This window comes from Homo sapiens, chromosome 11, assembly GCF_000001405.40.
Source record: "Homo sapiens chromosome 11, GRCh38.p14 Primary Assembly".
NCBI lineage: Eukaryota > Metazoa > Chordata > Mammalia > Primates > Hominidae > Homo > Homo sapiens.
Genome location: NC_000011.10, coordinates 882826 through 897406, shown reverse-complemented (window position 1 = coordinate 897406; position 14581 = coordinate 882826). Strand labels below are relative to the sequence as shown.

The 14581-nt window shown below is 62.3% G+C and overlaps 1 protein-coding gene across 20 annotated transcripts in view, besides 4 other annotated features; it reads left to right on the top strand.

Annotated features, from left to right (window-relative positions):
- The window catches only part of CHID1 (chitinase domain containing 1), a 47356-nt gene that overhangs the window by 17808 nt on the left and 14967 nt on the right, over positions 1 to 14581 (top strand). For 14 of the 20 annotated variants that reach the window (XM_011520299.3, XM_047427479.1, XM_047427480.1 and 11 more), the window contains 3 exons: positions 3888 to 3980; positions 13238 to 13339; positions 14104 to 14259. In XM_011520299.3, coding sequence (XP_011518601.1) covers positions 3888 to 3980; positions 13238 to 13339; positions 14104 to 14259 — 351 coding nt within the window. The remainder of the gene's footprint in view (positions 1 to 3887; positions 3981 to 13237; positions 13340 to 14103; positions 14260 to 14581) is intronic. The other 6 variants (XM_011520300.3, XM_047427484.1, NM_001142677.2 and 3 more) reach the window with 1 other exon arrangement.
- Positions 2945 to 3447: an enhancer, noted in NCBI's record as "H3K4me1 hESC enhancer chr11:893960-894462 (GRCh37/hg19 assembly coordinates)". NCBI's record gives its function as "activates a minimal SCP1, AML or CMV promoter by ChIP-STARR-seq in naive H9 embryonic stem cells {active_cell/tissue: H9 hESC(naive)}" and the evidence as "EXISTENCE:reporter gene assay evidence [ECO:0000049][PMID:30033119]".
- Positions 5081 to 5600: an enhancer, noted in NCBI's record as "H3K27ac-H3K4me1 hESC enhancer chr11:891807-892326 (GRCh37/hg19 assembly coordinates)". NCBI's record gives its function as "activates a minimal SCP1, AML or CMV promoter by ChIP-STARR-seq in naive H9 embryonic stem cells {active_cell/tissue: H9 hESC(naive)}" and the evidence as "EXISTENCE:reporter gene assay evidence [ECO:0000049][PMID:30033119]".
- Positions 5601 to 6118: an enhancer, noted in NCBI's record as "H3K27ac-H3K4me1 hESC enhancer chr11:891289-891806 (GRCh37/hg19 assembly coordinates)". NCBI's record gives its function as "activates a minimal SCP1, AML or CMV promoter by ChIP-STARR-seq in naive H9 embryonic stem cells {active_cell/tissue: H9 hESC(naive)}" and the evidence as "EXISTENCE:reporter gene assay evidence [ECO:0000049][PMID:30033119]".
- Positions 7158 to 7677: an enhancer, noted in NCBI's record as "H3K27ac-H3K4me1 hESC enhancer chr11:889730-890249 (GRCh37/hg19 assembly coordinates)". NCBI's record gives its function as "activates a minimal SCP1, AML or CMV promoter by ChIP-STARR-seq in naive H9 embryonic stem cells {active_cell/tissue: H9 hESC(naive)}" and the evidence as "EXISTENCE:reporter gene assay evidence [ECO:0000049][PMID:30033119]".

The following is a 14581-nucleotide window of genomic DNA, read 5'->3' as shown; positions in this document are numbered from 1 at the left end:
GGGAGAGTGGGTCTATTAACCAGAGATTTGCCACACTCATTTCCGTTTCAGAGCATTAGGTAGGCAGTGAGATGGCACCAGAGGCTCCTCAGGAGATAGCCTCTTGTCTGGGGTGGAGGCTGGAGGTGCTGAGACAGCCTCGTGTCTGGGGTGGAGGCTGGGGGTGCTGAGACAGGCTCGTGTCTGGGGTGGAGGCTGGGGGTGCTGAGACAGGCTCGTGTCTGGGGTGGAGGCTGGGGGTGCTGAGACAGGCTCGTGTCGGGGTGGAGGCTGGGGGTGCTGAGACAGGCTCGTGTCTGGGGTGGAGGCTGCAGGTGCTGAGACAGGCTCGTGTCTGGGGTGGAGGCTGCAGGTGCTGAGACAGGCTCGTTGTGTCGGGTGGAGGCTGGGGGTGCTGAGACAGGCTCGTGTCTGGGATGGAGGCTGGGGGTGCTGAGACAGGCTCGTTGTGTCTGGGGTGGAGGCTGGGGGTGCTGAGACAGGCTCGTGTCTGGGGTGGAGGCTGGGGGTGCTGAGACAGGCTCGTGTCTGGGGTGGAGTCTGGGGGCCCTGAGACAGCTTAGTTTCTGTGGTGGAGGCTGGGGGCCCTGAGACAGGCTCATTGTGTCTGGGGTGGAGGCTGGGGGCACTGAGACAGCCACACGTCTGGGGTGGAGGCTAGGGGTGCTGAGACAGCCTCACGTCTGGGGTGGAGGCTGGGGGTGCTGAGACAGCCTCATGTCTGGGGTGGAGGCTGGGGGCCCTGAGACAGTTTCGTGTCTGGGGTGGAGGCTGGGGGCACTGAGACAGGCTCATTGTGTCTGGGGTGGAGGCTGGGGGTGCTGAGACAGCCTCACGTCTGGGGTGGAGGCTGGGGGTGCTGAGACAGCCTCACGTCTGGGGTGGAGGCTGGGGGTGCTGAGACAGCCTCATGTCTGGGGTGGAGGCTGGGGGTGCTGAGACAGCCTTGTGTCTGGGGTGGAGGCTGGGGGTGCTGAGACAGGCTCGTTGTGTCTGGATTGGAGGCTGGGGGTGCTGAGACAGGCTTGTTGTGTCTAGGGTGGAGGCTGGGGGTGCTGAGACACCCTCATGTCTGGGGTGGAGGCTGGGGGCACTGAGACAGCCTCGTTGTGTCTGGGGTGGAGGCTGGGGGTGCTGAGACAGCCTCATGTCTGGGGTGGAGGCTGGGGGCCCTGAGACAGTTTCGTGTCTGGGGTGGAGGCTGGGGGTGCTGAGACAGCCTCGTTGTGTCTGGGGTGGAGGCTGGGGGTGCTGAGACAGGCTCGTGTCTGGGGTGGAGGCTGGGGGCACTGAGACAGGCTCGTTGTGTCTGGGGTGGAGGCTGCGGGTGCTGAGACGGCCTCGTTGTGTCAGGGCTCGACGGGTCATTAACGTCAGGGTGGGAGGGCAGGAGGCAGTAGGGGGATTGCTGAGCCGGAGTGGCCACTGCAGGGGAGGACGGTTGGGAGCAGCCTGCGAGCACCTCGTGTCCAGGCTCCTGCAGGAAGGTGGGGAGCTGCGGGAAGGTGGGGAGCTGCAGGAAGGTCGGGAGCTGCCAGCATGGCAGGGGCAGGCAGTATCCAGGCTCCTCAGAGCAGCTTGGCAGATTCCTTTGGGCATTCTGCTGCCTGGGAGCTGCCTCAGCACAGTCCTGCCTCTGACCACCACTTGGGACCCCAGCCCGCATTGTGCCAGGCCCGAGACTGGGCTCAGCAGGTTCGGTCCCATGCACTGGGCCCTGGACAGAGGCTCAGGGGCAGCTTTTCCTGCAGAGTTTGTTGGCAGTGCCCTTAGAAGGGATGTTGCTGCCTCTGGTCCCTCCTGAGCTCTGGATCAGCCCCTTACAGTTGTCCGCATGCCCAGAGGGGCTGTGTTAGGGGCGCTCGGAGCCACCAGTGCCAGCAGCTGGCAGTATGAGGGGGTCTGTCGTGAGGAGCGCTCCGGGCAATGCTGCAGCACTGTAGCTGCAGCTCACGTCGCCTCCGGGGCCCATGTTGTCTCCTGGGGGCCTGGGTAGACCTGACTCACACCTGTCCTCCTTGAAGGCCAGCTCTGGGCCACACCGTGAGCCTGACTGTGGGTGGACACCCAGGCTCCCTGGGCCCCTCACAGAGTGGCTGGGGGCACCTTTTGGCCCTCAGGTCTGGTGTGGCCCTGGAGGAAGGCCATCCCACCACCATCCTGGGGAGCTGTGGGTACCTGCAGACAGCATAGAGCCCACAGGCTGGGAACCAGGCAGGAGACCCCCAGGTAGGGTCAGCTTCCCCAGGCATCTGGGCAGGGCTTACTCTGCTCACTTTGCTCTGGTGTTTCAGGGGCGGGGGCAGCACCCTCCTTGACCACCACCTCTAAGTGGCGCACAGTGTGTGACAGCCTCTGGTACCCATAGAGTTGTGGACACAGCTGCAGAGGCGTGAGGACGGGCTGCCCAAAGACACTGCTCCCCACTGAGGACTGTACCTGCATTGCAGCCGGCAGAACTAACACCAGATGATGTGGGCCAGAGTTACCCAGGAATTGACGGGGGCTTGGCTTGGAAAATGACAGTCCCACTTGGGCCATGTCAGGGAAACAGGAGCTGCCACTATGCAGCAGTTGCACATGCCAGGCCCTGGTCCTGGCACCATTGGGAGCACCAGGGCCTCTGGGTACTGGCTGAGGAACCGTCACCTCGTCCTGACCTAACCCGGTTCTCACTGAGCCCCACAGAGGCTTGTGCTGGAGTGGGGCGGGACCTGGGGCCACCAGGGGCCGGCTCTTGCCCCACTCTCAGTCCTCCTGTCATCCCCTAAGGGGTGGGTCTCCTCCCCAGATGGGGCTGCTCCCAGGGGCCTGCAGCGTGAGAGTGACAGTCTCCTACGTGCGGTAACAGCCAGAGCCTGCCCAGTGTGGACGTATCACCCTGAAACCCAGCTTTGCAGCAGCATGTGCTCCAGGCCAGTTTCTGCAGAGGCCACCTGCAGGGTAGACTCATGGGCACCAGCGTGTGCACACGGCCGGCCTGGGGTCCTGACGGCTGCTCCTAGGCCGTGCTAGGAGGGAGGCTAGTGCCATCCCTTGGGGAACACTGCCAGCCTGCTCTGAGATGCTCCTGCCCCCTCCACCTCCAGGGGCCAGAGGAGGCCTAACTGCTGCTCCCTGTCTCCTGCCCTGCCCGGTGCCCTGCCCTCTCCTTCCCTGAGCTACACCAGGCAGGTGGGGCCCTTGGAGTGCCCTGCGGCCACCCTCGGATCAGTGTCCTGGGCCTGCTGGGGGCCTTTTCTTACCTGGTGTGTCCTTTTTTTTTTTTTTTTTTTTTTTTTTTTTGAGACAGAGTCATGCTCTTCAGCCCAGGCTGGAGTGCAGTGGTGCGATCTCAGCTCACTGCAACCTCCACCTCCTGGGTTCAAGTAATTCTCCTGCCTCAGCCTCCTGAGTAGCTCGGATTACAGGAACCTGCCACCACACCCTGCTAATCTTTGTGTTTTTAGTAGAGGCGGGGTTTCGCCATGTTGGCCAAGCCGATCTGGCCTCGGGTGACTGCCCACCTCGGCCTCCCAAGGTGCTGGGATTACCGGCGTGAGCCACCGTGCCCAGCTTTTTTTTTTTTTAATCTGCCATGTCTTTAGGTGTCTAAAGTGTGATGTACACACGTGGGGCTGTCTCTGGTTGTTGGAGCCCCTCTTTCTGGGGATTCCTGGGGTACTGCACAGGCCCCCACTCTAGGGGGCCCACTGGGGCATGAGACAGTGTTGTTGGGGCTACATCCAGAGATGGATAGGAAGTTCCCACGAAGGGGCCCACCTGCCCTGCTGCAGGGTGTCAGGCTGGGGACCAGCCCCACCCCTCCCTGAGGCAGCGGGTGTCACAGAACCCTGGGAGAGGCCTCAGTGCCAGGCACTGCTGACCCCATCTCTCGGTTCTTGCAGGGGCCTCATCCACATGCTCACCCACTTGGCCGAGGCTCTGCACCAGGCCCGGCTGCTGGCCCTCCTGGTCATCCCGCCTGCCATCACCCCCGGGTAAGTGCCGCTCTTGAGATGTGGGGGTGGCTGTGGAGGGCTCTGGGGTCGGGGGCAGCCAGTGCAGGGTGTCGGCCAAAGGGCCCAGGCCCTCCTGCTCAGCACCCAAACCTCATCCCGTCTGTATAGAGGCTTCAGCTGCCACACACTCTGTGCCCCTGTGCTGGGCACAGAGAAGGCTCCAAGTCAGCACGTGAGTCCCAGGGGCAGACCTGGGGGCCAAGTGGACAGAAGCAGGCTGGGTTGGGGAGTCACAGAGGCCAGGCAGGGCTGGCTTGGCTGGGGGCACCCCAGGGTGTCGAGGCAGAAGTCCCAGGGTTCTGCCCAGGGCAGCCCCTCAGGCAGACACTGGGCTTCCCGGCCTGCCACTCTGGAAAGCTGCCAGCCCTCTGCACCTCTGCAGCCTCCTCTCCCTCCAGAGGCAGAGAGGTGACTGCGGGCCACTCGCTGTGTGCGGTTGGGTGCACCCCCAAACCCAAGGTTGGCTAGAGGGACTCACAGAAGAGCCAGTTTGTGCTCACAGGAGGCGGCCACCCTGCACATGCCTGTGCCAGCACAGGCCGGCCATGCCCTCAGGGTAGCACCCCTGGCTAAGGAGGCAGCTTGGTGGCCTCCTTCACAGCCTGTAGGTTGCTGAGGGCCCTTTGCACAGTCAACCGACTTTTCTCTCCAAGCTTTCCAGGGCTCTCCGCTGATCAGTGTGGGCTGCAACTGGGCAAGGCAGTGCTGGGACAGACACAGCAGCATGTCCTGCAGACCAGGTTTCAGACCTGTGCCCGTGGTCCTGCTGTCGTGGCCAGGTTCCTCCCCTGGAGCTGGGGCAGGCAGTGCTTAGACCCTTCTGGCTCCCAGCACAGCGCAGTTGCTAGTTCCTGTTGGGCTCAGACTGATCCTTTGATGGAAGACCCTGGAAAGTGGAAAGCAGAAGAGGTGCTGAGAGCTGAGCCCTGGGGGCTGCTTCGTGCATGGCCTGAGCTTCTTGCACACGTACCCAGCATTGTGCAGACAGAACTCCCTCTGCCTGTGACCAGGCGTTGGGGGTCCTGTCCCAGGCCGAGCCCTGGGGAGCCTCCCGTCTGCAGCACTGCTGTGTGCCCTGGCCCCTCCCTCTCCCTTATGTGCCAGCTGGGCTGACCTGTGGGTGGTGCTGGTGGGCAGGGGCCTGGCTGTGCCTCGGCAGTTCTGCTCCTGCAGCCCAGCAACCTCAGCCTCCCCGGCAATAACGGGCCCAAGTCCAGGGCTGGGGTCTCACCTGTGTCCCGGGTGTGGGGCCCCCACGCTGCGTCTTTTTCTTTTCTTTTTCTTTTTTTTTGAGATAGAGTCTCACTCTGTCGCCCAGGCTGGAGTGCAGTGGTGCAATCTTATCTCACTGCAACCTCTGCCTCCCAGGCTCAAGTGATCCCCCACCTCAGCCTCCTGAGTAGCTGGGGCTACAGGCACATGTCACCACACCCAGTTAATTTGTGTTTTTTTTTTTTTTTTTTTTTTGGAAATGAGGTTTTGCCATGTTGCCCAGGCTGGTCTTGAACTCCTGGGCTCAAGCGATCATCCCACCTCGGCCTCCCAAGCCACCGTGGCCAGCCTTTTCCGATGTAAGGCACTAATGTCTGACCTGTGTTCCCAGGGTTTGAAGGGGGCTGGCAGGGGCTGGCTGTGAGGACACGTCCTTCCAGAGCTGACAGCACCTGTCTCAGGTGGTTGGGAGGACTACAGGCCTGGGGCTGGGTGAAGATTCCTCGGGGCAGCAGACACTCCTTGTCCAGAGGCCATGGGCATGGCCACCTCTGTGAGGCACTGATTTCATGGGGCTCCCAGGTTGCCCTTTGTGCTTAGGGGAGCTGCAGAAGCAGCCATCGGTGGGGACCAGCTCAGGAGCCCAGGGCAGTTCTTGAGGCTGGGGCAGAGGACCAGGTGCCTGTCTTCTGCTGGTGGCAGCCTCTGCCTGAGCTTCTGGCCCTAGGCAGGAAGTGGGCAGTTGGAGCTGGGCCAGGTCCCTGCCCCTCACCCCACAGCAACCAAAGCTCACAACTCCATTTGCATGGCGCTGGTGGGGGTTGCAGCTGTAGGGTGGGATGCACGCCAGGGCTACGGGCACGGTGACGAGGCTGGGGGCGGGGCCGAGGCCCACGGTGGGGGTCCCCGGGGAAGTGGGACCCAGCTCGGGGGAGGGCTGGGCACTGCTGTTGTGCGCCCGCTCCACTGGAGCACAGGGCTGTGCCCTCCCAGTCGGCGGGGCCGGTGAAGGTGCTGAGGCTCCCGTGGGTTCTCCCGAGACTCTGGCTACAGCCCCAGAGGTGAGGAGGGCTGTTTTGTCATCTGTTTATCCTTCCCCCATCCCACTCTGAGGGAAGAGCAGCCACTGCAGAGGAGCCTCGTAAATCCCTGTCCCTGGTGCTTTTGCAGCAGCGCGTAATTGTGCTTGTCACTCACCTCCCAAGAGCAGCGCTGCCAGCACACAGGCTCGCTCTCTCCAGGGGCACTGTCTGTGGAACAATGGCCCCTGGAGAGAGGTCTGCGTGCTGCGGGGAGGGGCACCCCAGTCGCCAAATGCCAATTTTATCGTGTCCTTCGTCAGCAGACAGAGGCAGCCCTAACTCAGCTGCCACAGACCCCAGGGTGTCTGGTCCTGGAACTGAGCACTCTGCGGACCTCCAGCCCTGCTCCCACAGTCAGTCTCAGCAATGGAGGAGACCCAGGGGCAAAGCCACAGCGTAAACCCCACAGGCCAGTGGGACCAACAGGCTGTCCCCAGGTGCCCATGTGGTGGTGCCATCCTTAACATGGGAGCAGAACCCTTGGGTCACTCTCTAGTTGGCCCCTTGTGTTTTCTGGGCATTGTTAGCTACTGGGACCCCCTTGGGTCCAGGGAGCTGACCTCAGGAACCCAGGAAGGGCTGGTTTCCTTCCTGGGCCCTGCTGGCGCCGTTGCCGGCCTTGTTGTCAGTGGTCCACTCTGAGGTGGGCGGGGCCGCGACCCTGGCCAGCTCCTGCAAGCCCCGTGGTTCAGGGCCGGCCATCGCTATATGTGGAGCCCAACTCAGCAGTCAGAGAAAGGTGACGCATGGGGGCGCCGTCACCGTATCCCCAGCAAGCACGTTTGCACAGAGGCCCCTGCTCCCGTCGCCCACCTGCCTCTTGCCCGCAGCCTCAGGGGATGGGGCAGGCCGCGTGCTGGCAGTGTGTGTTGAGGCCTCTGTGGGGGACCGTAGGCACCCCGTGCGGTGTGGACGGGCCGAGGTCCAGGCTGAGGTCAGGCCCCAAAGGGCCAAAGGGTGCTAACCGGCCAGTCAGGGAGCGGGCTAGGCCTGCAGGCTGAGGAACAGTAGAGCAGCCATCGTGAGGGGGCGAGGACGCCAGCAGCAGCAGACAGGGGCCAGGGGACCCAAGGCCATGGGGAGCGGGCTAGGCCTGCAGGCTGAGAACAGTAGAGCAGCCATCGTGAGGGGGCGAGGATGCCAGCAGCAGCAGACAGGGGCCAGGCGACCCAAGGCCATGGGGAGCGGGTTCAGAAATCTCTGACAGGTGGGCAGAGGGGGAGGGGAGCTGTGGGTGGAGGAACAGCTGTGGCCGCTGGCTGCTGGGGGCAGATGCCCTGAGCATGGGAGATTGCAGGGACAGTGATGCCAGCATCTGTTAGGGTTGGGGAAAGGTATTCCCTTGGACTGCTATGGGGCCTGACAGTGATGCCACCATCTCTGTTAGGGTTGGGGACTGGCATTCCCTCAGGGCTGCTGTGGGGCCTGGCTCTGCAGGTGGCAACTATAGGGCCAGGCGGTGTGGCTGGCAGGGACTAGGGACCATAGGCCAAGCCCACGCCTTCCTCACATTCAGCCTGGAGGGAGGTCAGCTGAATGGAGGTCAGAGACTATGGCTCTCCCCTGCTGGGTGGCTGGAAGATGACAGTCTAGGGAGACAGGGAGGCTAAGCCCACAGGGTCTGGTAGCTGGAGTGCAGGAGCAGGGAAGAGATGGGCCCACCCCAGCAGATGGCGGCGGGAGGGGTTGACGTGGAGCCGACGTTCCTTTTGCCTGGCGTCAACTACAGTGATGCAGATGTCACCCAGAGATGGCAGCTGGTCGGCCGAGGGAAGAGGGGGCATCTGCCACGTGGGCCCAGTGTCAGGACCAAGGTGGGTGGGTGGGGGTTTCAGGGAGTTCGCAGGTAGAACGTGAGAGTCGTGCTGTGCTGGAGGGACGGTGTGGGTACATGGCAGGAGACTGTGGGCTCACTCGTGTCACCGTCTCCCCTCGGATCTGGGAGGACGCTGTTCTGGAGGCCGCAGCCGCCCCGGCCTCTGGCAGCTGTGGGGTCCACGTGGCTGGAGGGACCTGGTCAGGCCCCAGCCTGGGATTGTTCAGTGTGAGGCAGCCAGCTGGGCAGTGCACCCCCAGGGCCCTGGGGCACAGAGCGGCCTGTCTCAGCACAAAGCCTGAGCAGGGGCAGCCCGGGAAGAGCAGAGCGCGTCCAGCCGTCTGGAGGGGGAGGGGCACTGGCGTTGCTGTGGGCCCCGGGGTCCAATCGAGGCCAAGTGGGCAGGCACTGGCGTTGGTGTGGGCCCGGAGTCCAGTCGAGGCCGAGTGGGCAGGCACTGGCATTGGTGTGGGCCCGGGGTCCAGTCGAGGCCGAGTGGGCAGGCACTGGCGTTGGTGTGGGCCCGGGGTCCAGTCGAGGCCGAGTGGGCACTCAACTTGCATGCCGCTGCCTGCATGGGGCCCACCCACGACATGGCGATGGGAGGGTCGGCAGCTGGCTGTGATGAGCTCCTTTTCCTTCTTTCCTTCCTCCCGGGGCTTTCGTTCCTCAGAAATGAATGCAGAACATGGTGTTTTCGGTGTGAGCAGTAATTCCTGTTCATCGGAAGTCACGCTGCGTCTAATCCGTGACAAGCTGTTACCTCATTGCTCAGCCGTGGTGATCCCCTCTTGTCCAGGTGCCACGGGGCACGGAGACAGATGGCTCTGCTGCCGGCTCTCGCATGTGTCTGGGTGAAGGACACAGGCTGGGGAGGACACCTGGCAGTGGCCCTTTTGCAGTGTTTCTTGCAAGTAGGAGGAGGTCCACATTCCCGGGTGGTCCTCAGGGCCAGCACCAGGTGGGGGTTGGCAGGACCGGGGGCACAGGACTGGTGCCCTCCCCTCTTTCTCCCACTGATCACCACCGTGAGCTGCTTCCGCCTCTGAATGGGGCCTGCTTTGTTCCCTCGTGTTGTGTTACCACCCTTGAAAGCGTGAGGACCGTTCTTAGCCTGCGGCCGTGGTTGGTGCCCAGCTGTAGCAAAGTTGTTGGGTCAGTGGGTGGCTGCGTGAGCCCCGAAGGGAAAATGCAAGCTGTGCCACAGGCATGTCACATGTCAGCATGCTGCACTGAGGGGCGTGGTGTGGAGCCATGTCCCCTGGCAGGACTGCCCCTTCCTGCTTGGGGATGTCGTGGAGCTGCATTTCTGGTGGACGCATGGGGAGCATTCGTGGTTTCTGTGCCACATTCTGTAGCTGGTGGGAACCAGATCCTGGACACGTGGCCTCACCTACCAAGGCCTTGTGGAGTGAAGCCAGCTCTGCCAGGAGTGCCTGGTGTGGCCAAGGCCATGAGGTGGTGGAGGGCATGGCGCCCACGAGAGGGACAGGGGCGTTGCAGCACCGTGGATGTGGGGGAGGCACACGAGCCCGGCTCACGGCAGGACCCCACATGTCTGATAGCAGCGTGTGAAGCGGGACGGGGTGCTTGGAAGGGCATCATGGGCACAGGGGAGGGGTTGGACTGTGGGACAGGCCCCTGCAGAGTAGAAGCTGCGGCTGACAGGGCTGCCATGAGATTGGCAAAGTAGGAGCCAAAGGGACAGGCAGTCCTGCTGGCCATGGTCCTAGGGGCAGCAAAGGCCCAAGTCAGAAGCAGAACCGTGGAGCACGTGAGAGGAAGGAGTGACAGACACAGACAACTCGGACCAGGATGTGGGTGCATCAGAAGACACCACAAAGGAGCGAGAAGACCAGCCTCTCGCCAGGTGGACGATGCTGCCCACACCACTGACCAAGAGCACATGACCACCTGAGAGAGCTAGAGGAGAGAAAATGGGAACACGGTGGTGGGAAAGCAACGACGGGCTGCGTGTGGAGGTACGCGCCTGTAATGCCAGCATTTGGGGAGGCTGAGGCAGGAGGATCGCTTGAGCCCAGGAGTTTGAGACCAGCCTGGGCAACATAGTGAGACCTCATCTTTACAAAAAATTTAAAAGTTAGCTGGACATGGTGGCACCTGTGGTCCCAGCTACTCGGGAGGCTGAGAGGAGGAGCTTGAGCTCAAGAGGTCTTGAGGCTGTAGTGAGCCGAGATTGTGCCACTGCACTCCAGCCTGGGCAACAGAGCAAGACCCTGTCTCAAAAACAGAAGAGAAGAAAAGAAAGAAAGCAACAAAGACCCCAGAGAACAGCGGGCAGGAGACCTGGACTCTGAACCACGAGAGGCCACAGTGGATGCGTGCATGGAGCTGATGGGCAGGCCAGGAGATGCTCAACCATGTTATTCATGAGAGAACCACAAATGAAAGCCACGGGGAGATCATGGCTCAGGAGCAGCCAGGCTGGGATGGAACCGACGCAGCCAACGCTGCCTGGCATCTGCCGCCAGGACCTGAGCGATGTGGGGCTGTGAGCTGGGGGGCTCTGTGTGGGAGGGGCCAAGGTGCCACCTGGGACCGACTCGGAGAGGCGCTGGCAAGCCCGAAGCCCACCTTCCGGCAAGGCCTCTTCCTGGTGCAGTCGGCACCTTTTTGCTGTGTCCTCGCATGGCAGAGAGCTGTGGTGTCTCTTCTCATAGGGACACTAACTCCACCATGGGGCGCGTCATCATGGCCTCGTCTAGCTCTAATCACCTCCTAAAGGCCCCGTCTCCAGAAACCATCGCATCAGTGGTTAGGGCTTCAACATAACCATTTGTGGGGACACAAGCACCCTGTCCACAGCAAGACCGATTCATCAATTGTCTTGCTCTGTTGCCCAGGCTGGAGTGCAGTGGCATGATCAGGGCTCACGGCAGCCTCCACCTCCTGGGCTCAAGCCATCCTCCCACCTCAGCCCCCCAAGTAGCTGGGACTACAGGCACATACCACCACACCCGGCTAATTTTTTAATTAATGTGGAGACAGAGTCTTGCTGTGTTCCCCAGGCTGGACTCCAACTCCTGAGCTCAAGAGATTGACCTGCCTCAGCCTCCCCAAATGCTGGGATTACAGGTGTGAGCCATCACACCCCGCCATTTTTCCTTTTTTTTTTTCTTTTTTTGAGACGGAGTCTTGCTTTGTCGCCCAGGCTGGAGTGCAGTGGCACGATCTCGGCTCACTGTAAGCTTCACTTCCCGGTTTCACACGCCATTCTCCTGCCTCAGCCTCCCAAGTAGCTGGGACTACAGGCGCCCACCACCACGCCCGGCTAATTTTTTTGTATTTTTAGTAGAGACGGGGTTTCACTGTGTTAGGATGGTCTCGATCTCCTGACCTCGTGATCCTCCCGTCTCGGCCTCCCAAAGTGCTGGGATTACAGGCGTGAGCCACTGCGCCCGGCCCATTTTTCCTTTTTGAATCAACTAAAAAAGGCAAGAGGATTGCTTGAGCCCAGAAGTTCAAGGCTGTAGTGAGATAGGATCGTGCCGCTGCACTCCAGCCTGGGTGACATAGAGACCCCATCTCAGAAATAAAAAAGAAATGATCTTGGGTTTCGGTGAGAGGACCTGGGTGGAGGCCTCGGCCCAGAGGGAGGTTGCAGGGCAGGAAGGTTCCAGTGGACAACTGGATTTGGGGCTGAAGTCTTAGGGGCACTTGGCTATAGAGAAGGGCCCAGGCACTGAGGGAGGCCACCGGGAGTGATGGGCATAGTGCTGGGAGGTGTTTGTCGGGGATCTGGGGAGGCTGACCGTGCCTGAGCGGTGGGGCTGGCAGGCATCAGGAAAAGAGGTCGGGGCTGAGGGGACCATGGATGATGCTCCACGTACCTGCAGGCCGGGACAGCCTGGGGTGGACAGACTCTGGGGCCTGGGCCTCTCATTGTGCTCAGCAGAGGAGGAAGGCCCAGACCTTGGTCCTGGTAGACTCAAGGCAGGGGCTGGGATAAAACTGCACATCTGGAGAGGCGCTCCTCAGACCTGCCAGGTGGGTCCAGGGATCTGCAGGAGGTGTCTTGGGCCCTCAAGCCCCTGACAGAAGCCCCAGCACTGAGGCCCTTGGCGTGGTCCAGATTTGGTAGCCCAGTGACCCTTGAGCAGAGGAGGGGTCACAACTGAGGGAGATCAGGGCCCACTGCCTCACAGGGACCCCCTCCCCTCACTTCAGTGCATGCTGCTCCTCCGGCCGCGTCCCCCATGCTGTTGTCCTACGTCCTGCTGCCGTGGGGCCCTCCGCCCCCTCGGTGTTGACCTTCATGTACTGCTCCTGTCTCCCCTTGGCTTATAGATCTGGGTGTGGAGGGGCCGTAGGCCAGCACCCAGCTCTCCCTGGGCCAGGCGGGAAGGCTGCCCCAGGAGACACTAGTCCCCAGTGGATCCAGGTCAGGAAGGAGCAGGTCCCCGAGGGAAGGGCGGCCATCCAGAGATGGCCCAGGGGCCAGGCAGACAGAACAGGGCCGCTTCCTCCGCGGTGCCCATGCCACAGGTGTCCGCAGCCGACCACCTGCCCTGGCGCCCCTTCCCCCATGCTGGGGAATGTGCCACACAGCCTTGCTCCATCCCTGGGAGCCAAGCACTTGTCCTTCCCGTCTACCTGCTGAGGTCCAGTGAGGGCTTTGGACAGCCTGGCTGGGCCAGGCCGACCCTGAGTGGGCTTGAGGGCTGCATCCCAGGAGCTGCTTCTGCCTTCAGGGAGGCTTTGCTGCAGACCCCGGGAGGGGACGCTCCTGGGAGCCTGGATCAGTCACCTCCATCTCAGCAACCCCAGCTCTTGGGAGTGGCCCATCCTCTTGGCCACTCTCCACTGACCTTGCCCCTCCATGGGCAGCCCTGGCCCAGGTCTCCCCGCCATTAGGTCTGTCATTCTCAGCTGTACCCTGGTCTCAGAGAGGCCTCTGGGCCCCGATGACCACATCCCCCTGTGTCTCCCAGCCCCCAGCCTCTGTGGCCCCAACCAAGCTGCAGGCTGTCCCCACCCCAGAAGAACACTTTTCCCCTTGGGAAAAGTGACCCAAGTCCCCTACAGGCAGCTTGCTCGAACCGCAGCTGGGGAGGGGCTTCAGGCAGGGCATAGCAGCCTGAGGTGGCTGCACCTGTCTGTTACAGGACCGACCAGCTGGGCATGTTCACGCACAAGGAGTTTGAGCAGCTGGCCCCCGTGCTGGATGGTTTCAGCCTCATGACCTACGACTACTCTACAGCGCATCAGTGAGTGTGGGCTTGGGGGGCTCCTGGGCACAGCAAACTCCACAGTGCAGCAGTGAGTGTGGACCTGGGGGGCTCCTGGGCACAGCTGATGCCCTCTTGCCTGTGGTTCTGTGCACAAGGTCACCTGCTGAGTCTGGACACCCACCTGAGGGAAGCCAGTGGGACTGCACCTGCCCCATGCCCTGTGGTGGTCACGTGGGTGGGGCCCTGCCTCTGGTGGAGCTGGGTCACGGCCAGAGGTACAGGCATAGTCCTGCTGCTGCCCGATGCCGCCCTGTCCTCTTTCGCCTGAGCCACACTGTTGTGGGAGGGCCGTGTGACACAGGCGCAGGCAGGGAGACCTCAGGAAGGATGCCCAGAAGGCCTTGTGTCTGCTGACCTCCTTCCCACTGTGTCATGCGGACTCCTGCCTGTGGCTGTGGGGTGGGGGCCGCACATGAGTGCCTGGCCCTGGGTGTGTTGTCCCTCATGGGCCCGCTCTGCTGACAGCCCTTTCTGATGGGTGATCCTGGCCCTGGACATGCCTCATGGGGCCACTCTGCTGACAGCCCTTTCTGATGGGTGATCCTGGCCCTGGACGTGACGTCCCTCATGGGCCCGCTCTGCTGACAGCCCTTTCTGATGGGTGACTTCTGTTCTTTACAACTCTCTAGAGGTGTCAGCCGCAGCATGGGGAGGATGCACCCCTCAGTGGAGGGCCCCAATGATGGCTCAGGTGCGGGGCCCTCCCTGTTGCTGAAACTCGCTCACCCCTTGCCCTGCAGGCCTGGCCCTAATGCACCCCTGTCCTGGGTTCGAGCCTGCGTCCAGGTCCTGGACCCGAAGTCCAAGTGGCGAAGCAAAATCCTCCTGGGGCTCAACTTCTATGGTATGGACTACGCGACCTCCAAGGATGCCCGTGAGCCTGTTGTCGGGGCCAGGTGAGCCAAGGGCTCTCCCTGCCGTGCTGAAGGTGTCACTGGGCGCGGGTGGGTGTGGGTGTAAGGAGACAGAGTGATGGGGAGGGTCTCGGTCCCCTGGGGCTTCTGCCCCACAGAGTCAGAGATAGGGGCTGGGCCAGGAGCCGGTCCTGCTTGGTGCCCACCCCACCGCAGCCCCCACTGTGGTCACCACCCATAACACGGCCACACATCTGCGTGAGGCTGTCCCCACATCTGCGTGAGGCTGGGACTGAGGCTTCCCCCACCCGTCAGCCTTGCCCCACAGCATACAGGCCGGGCCGGGGCCTCCTGGGTTGAATGC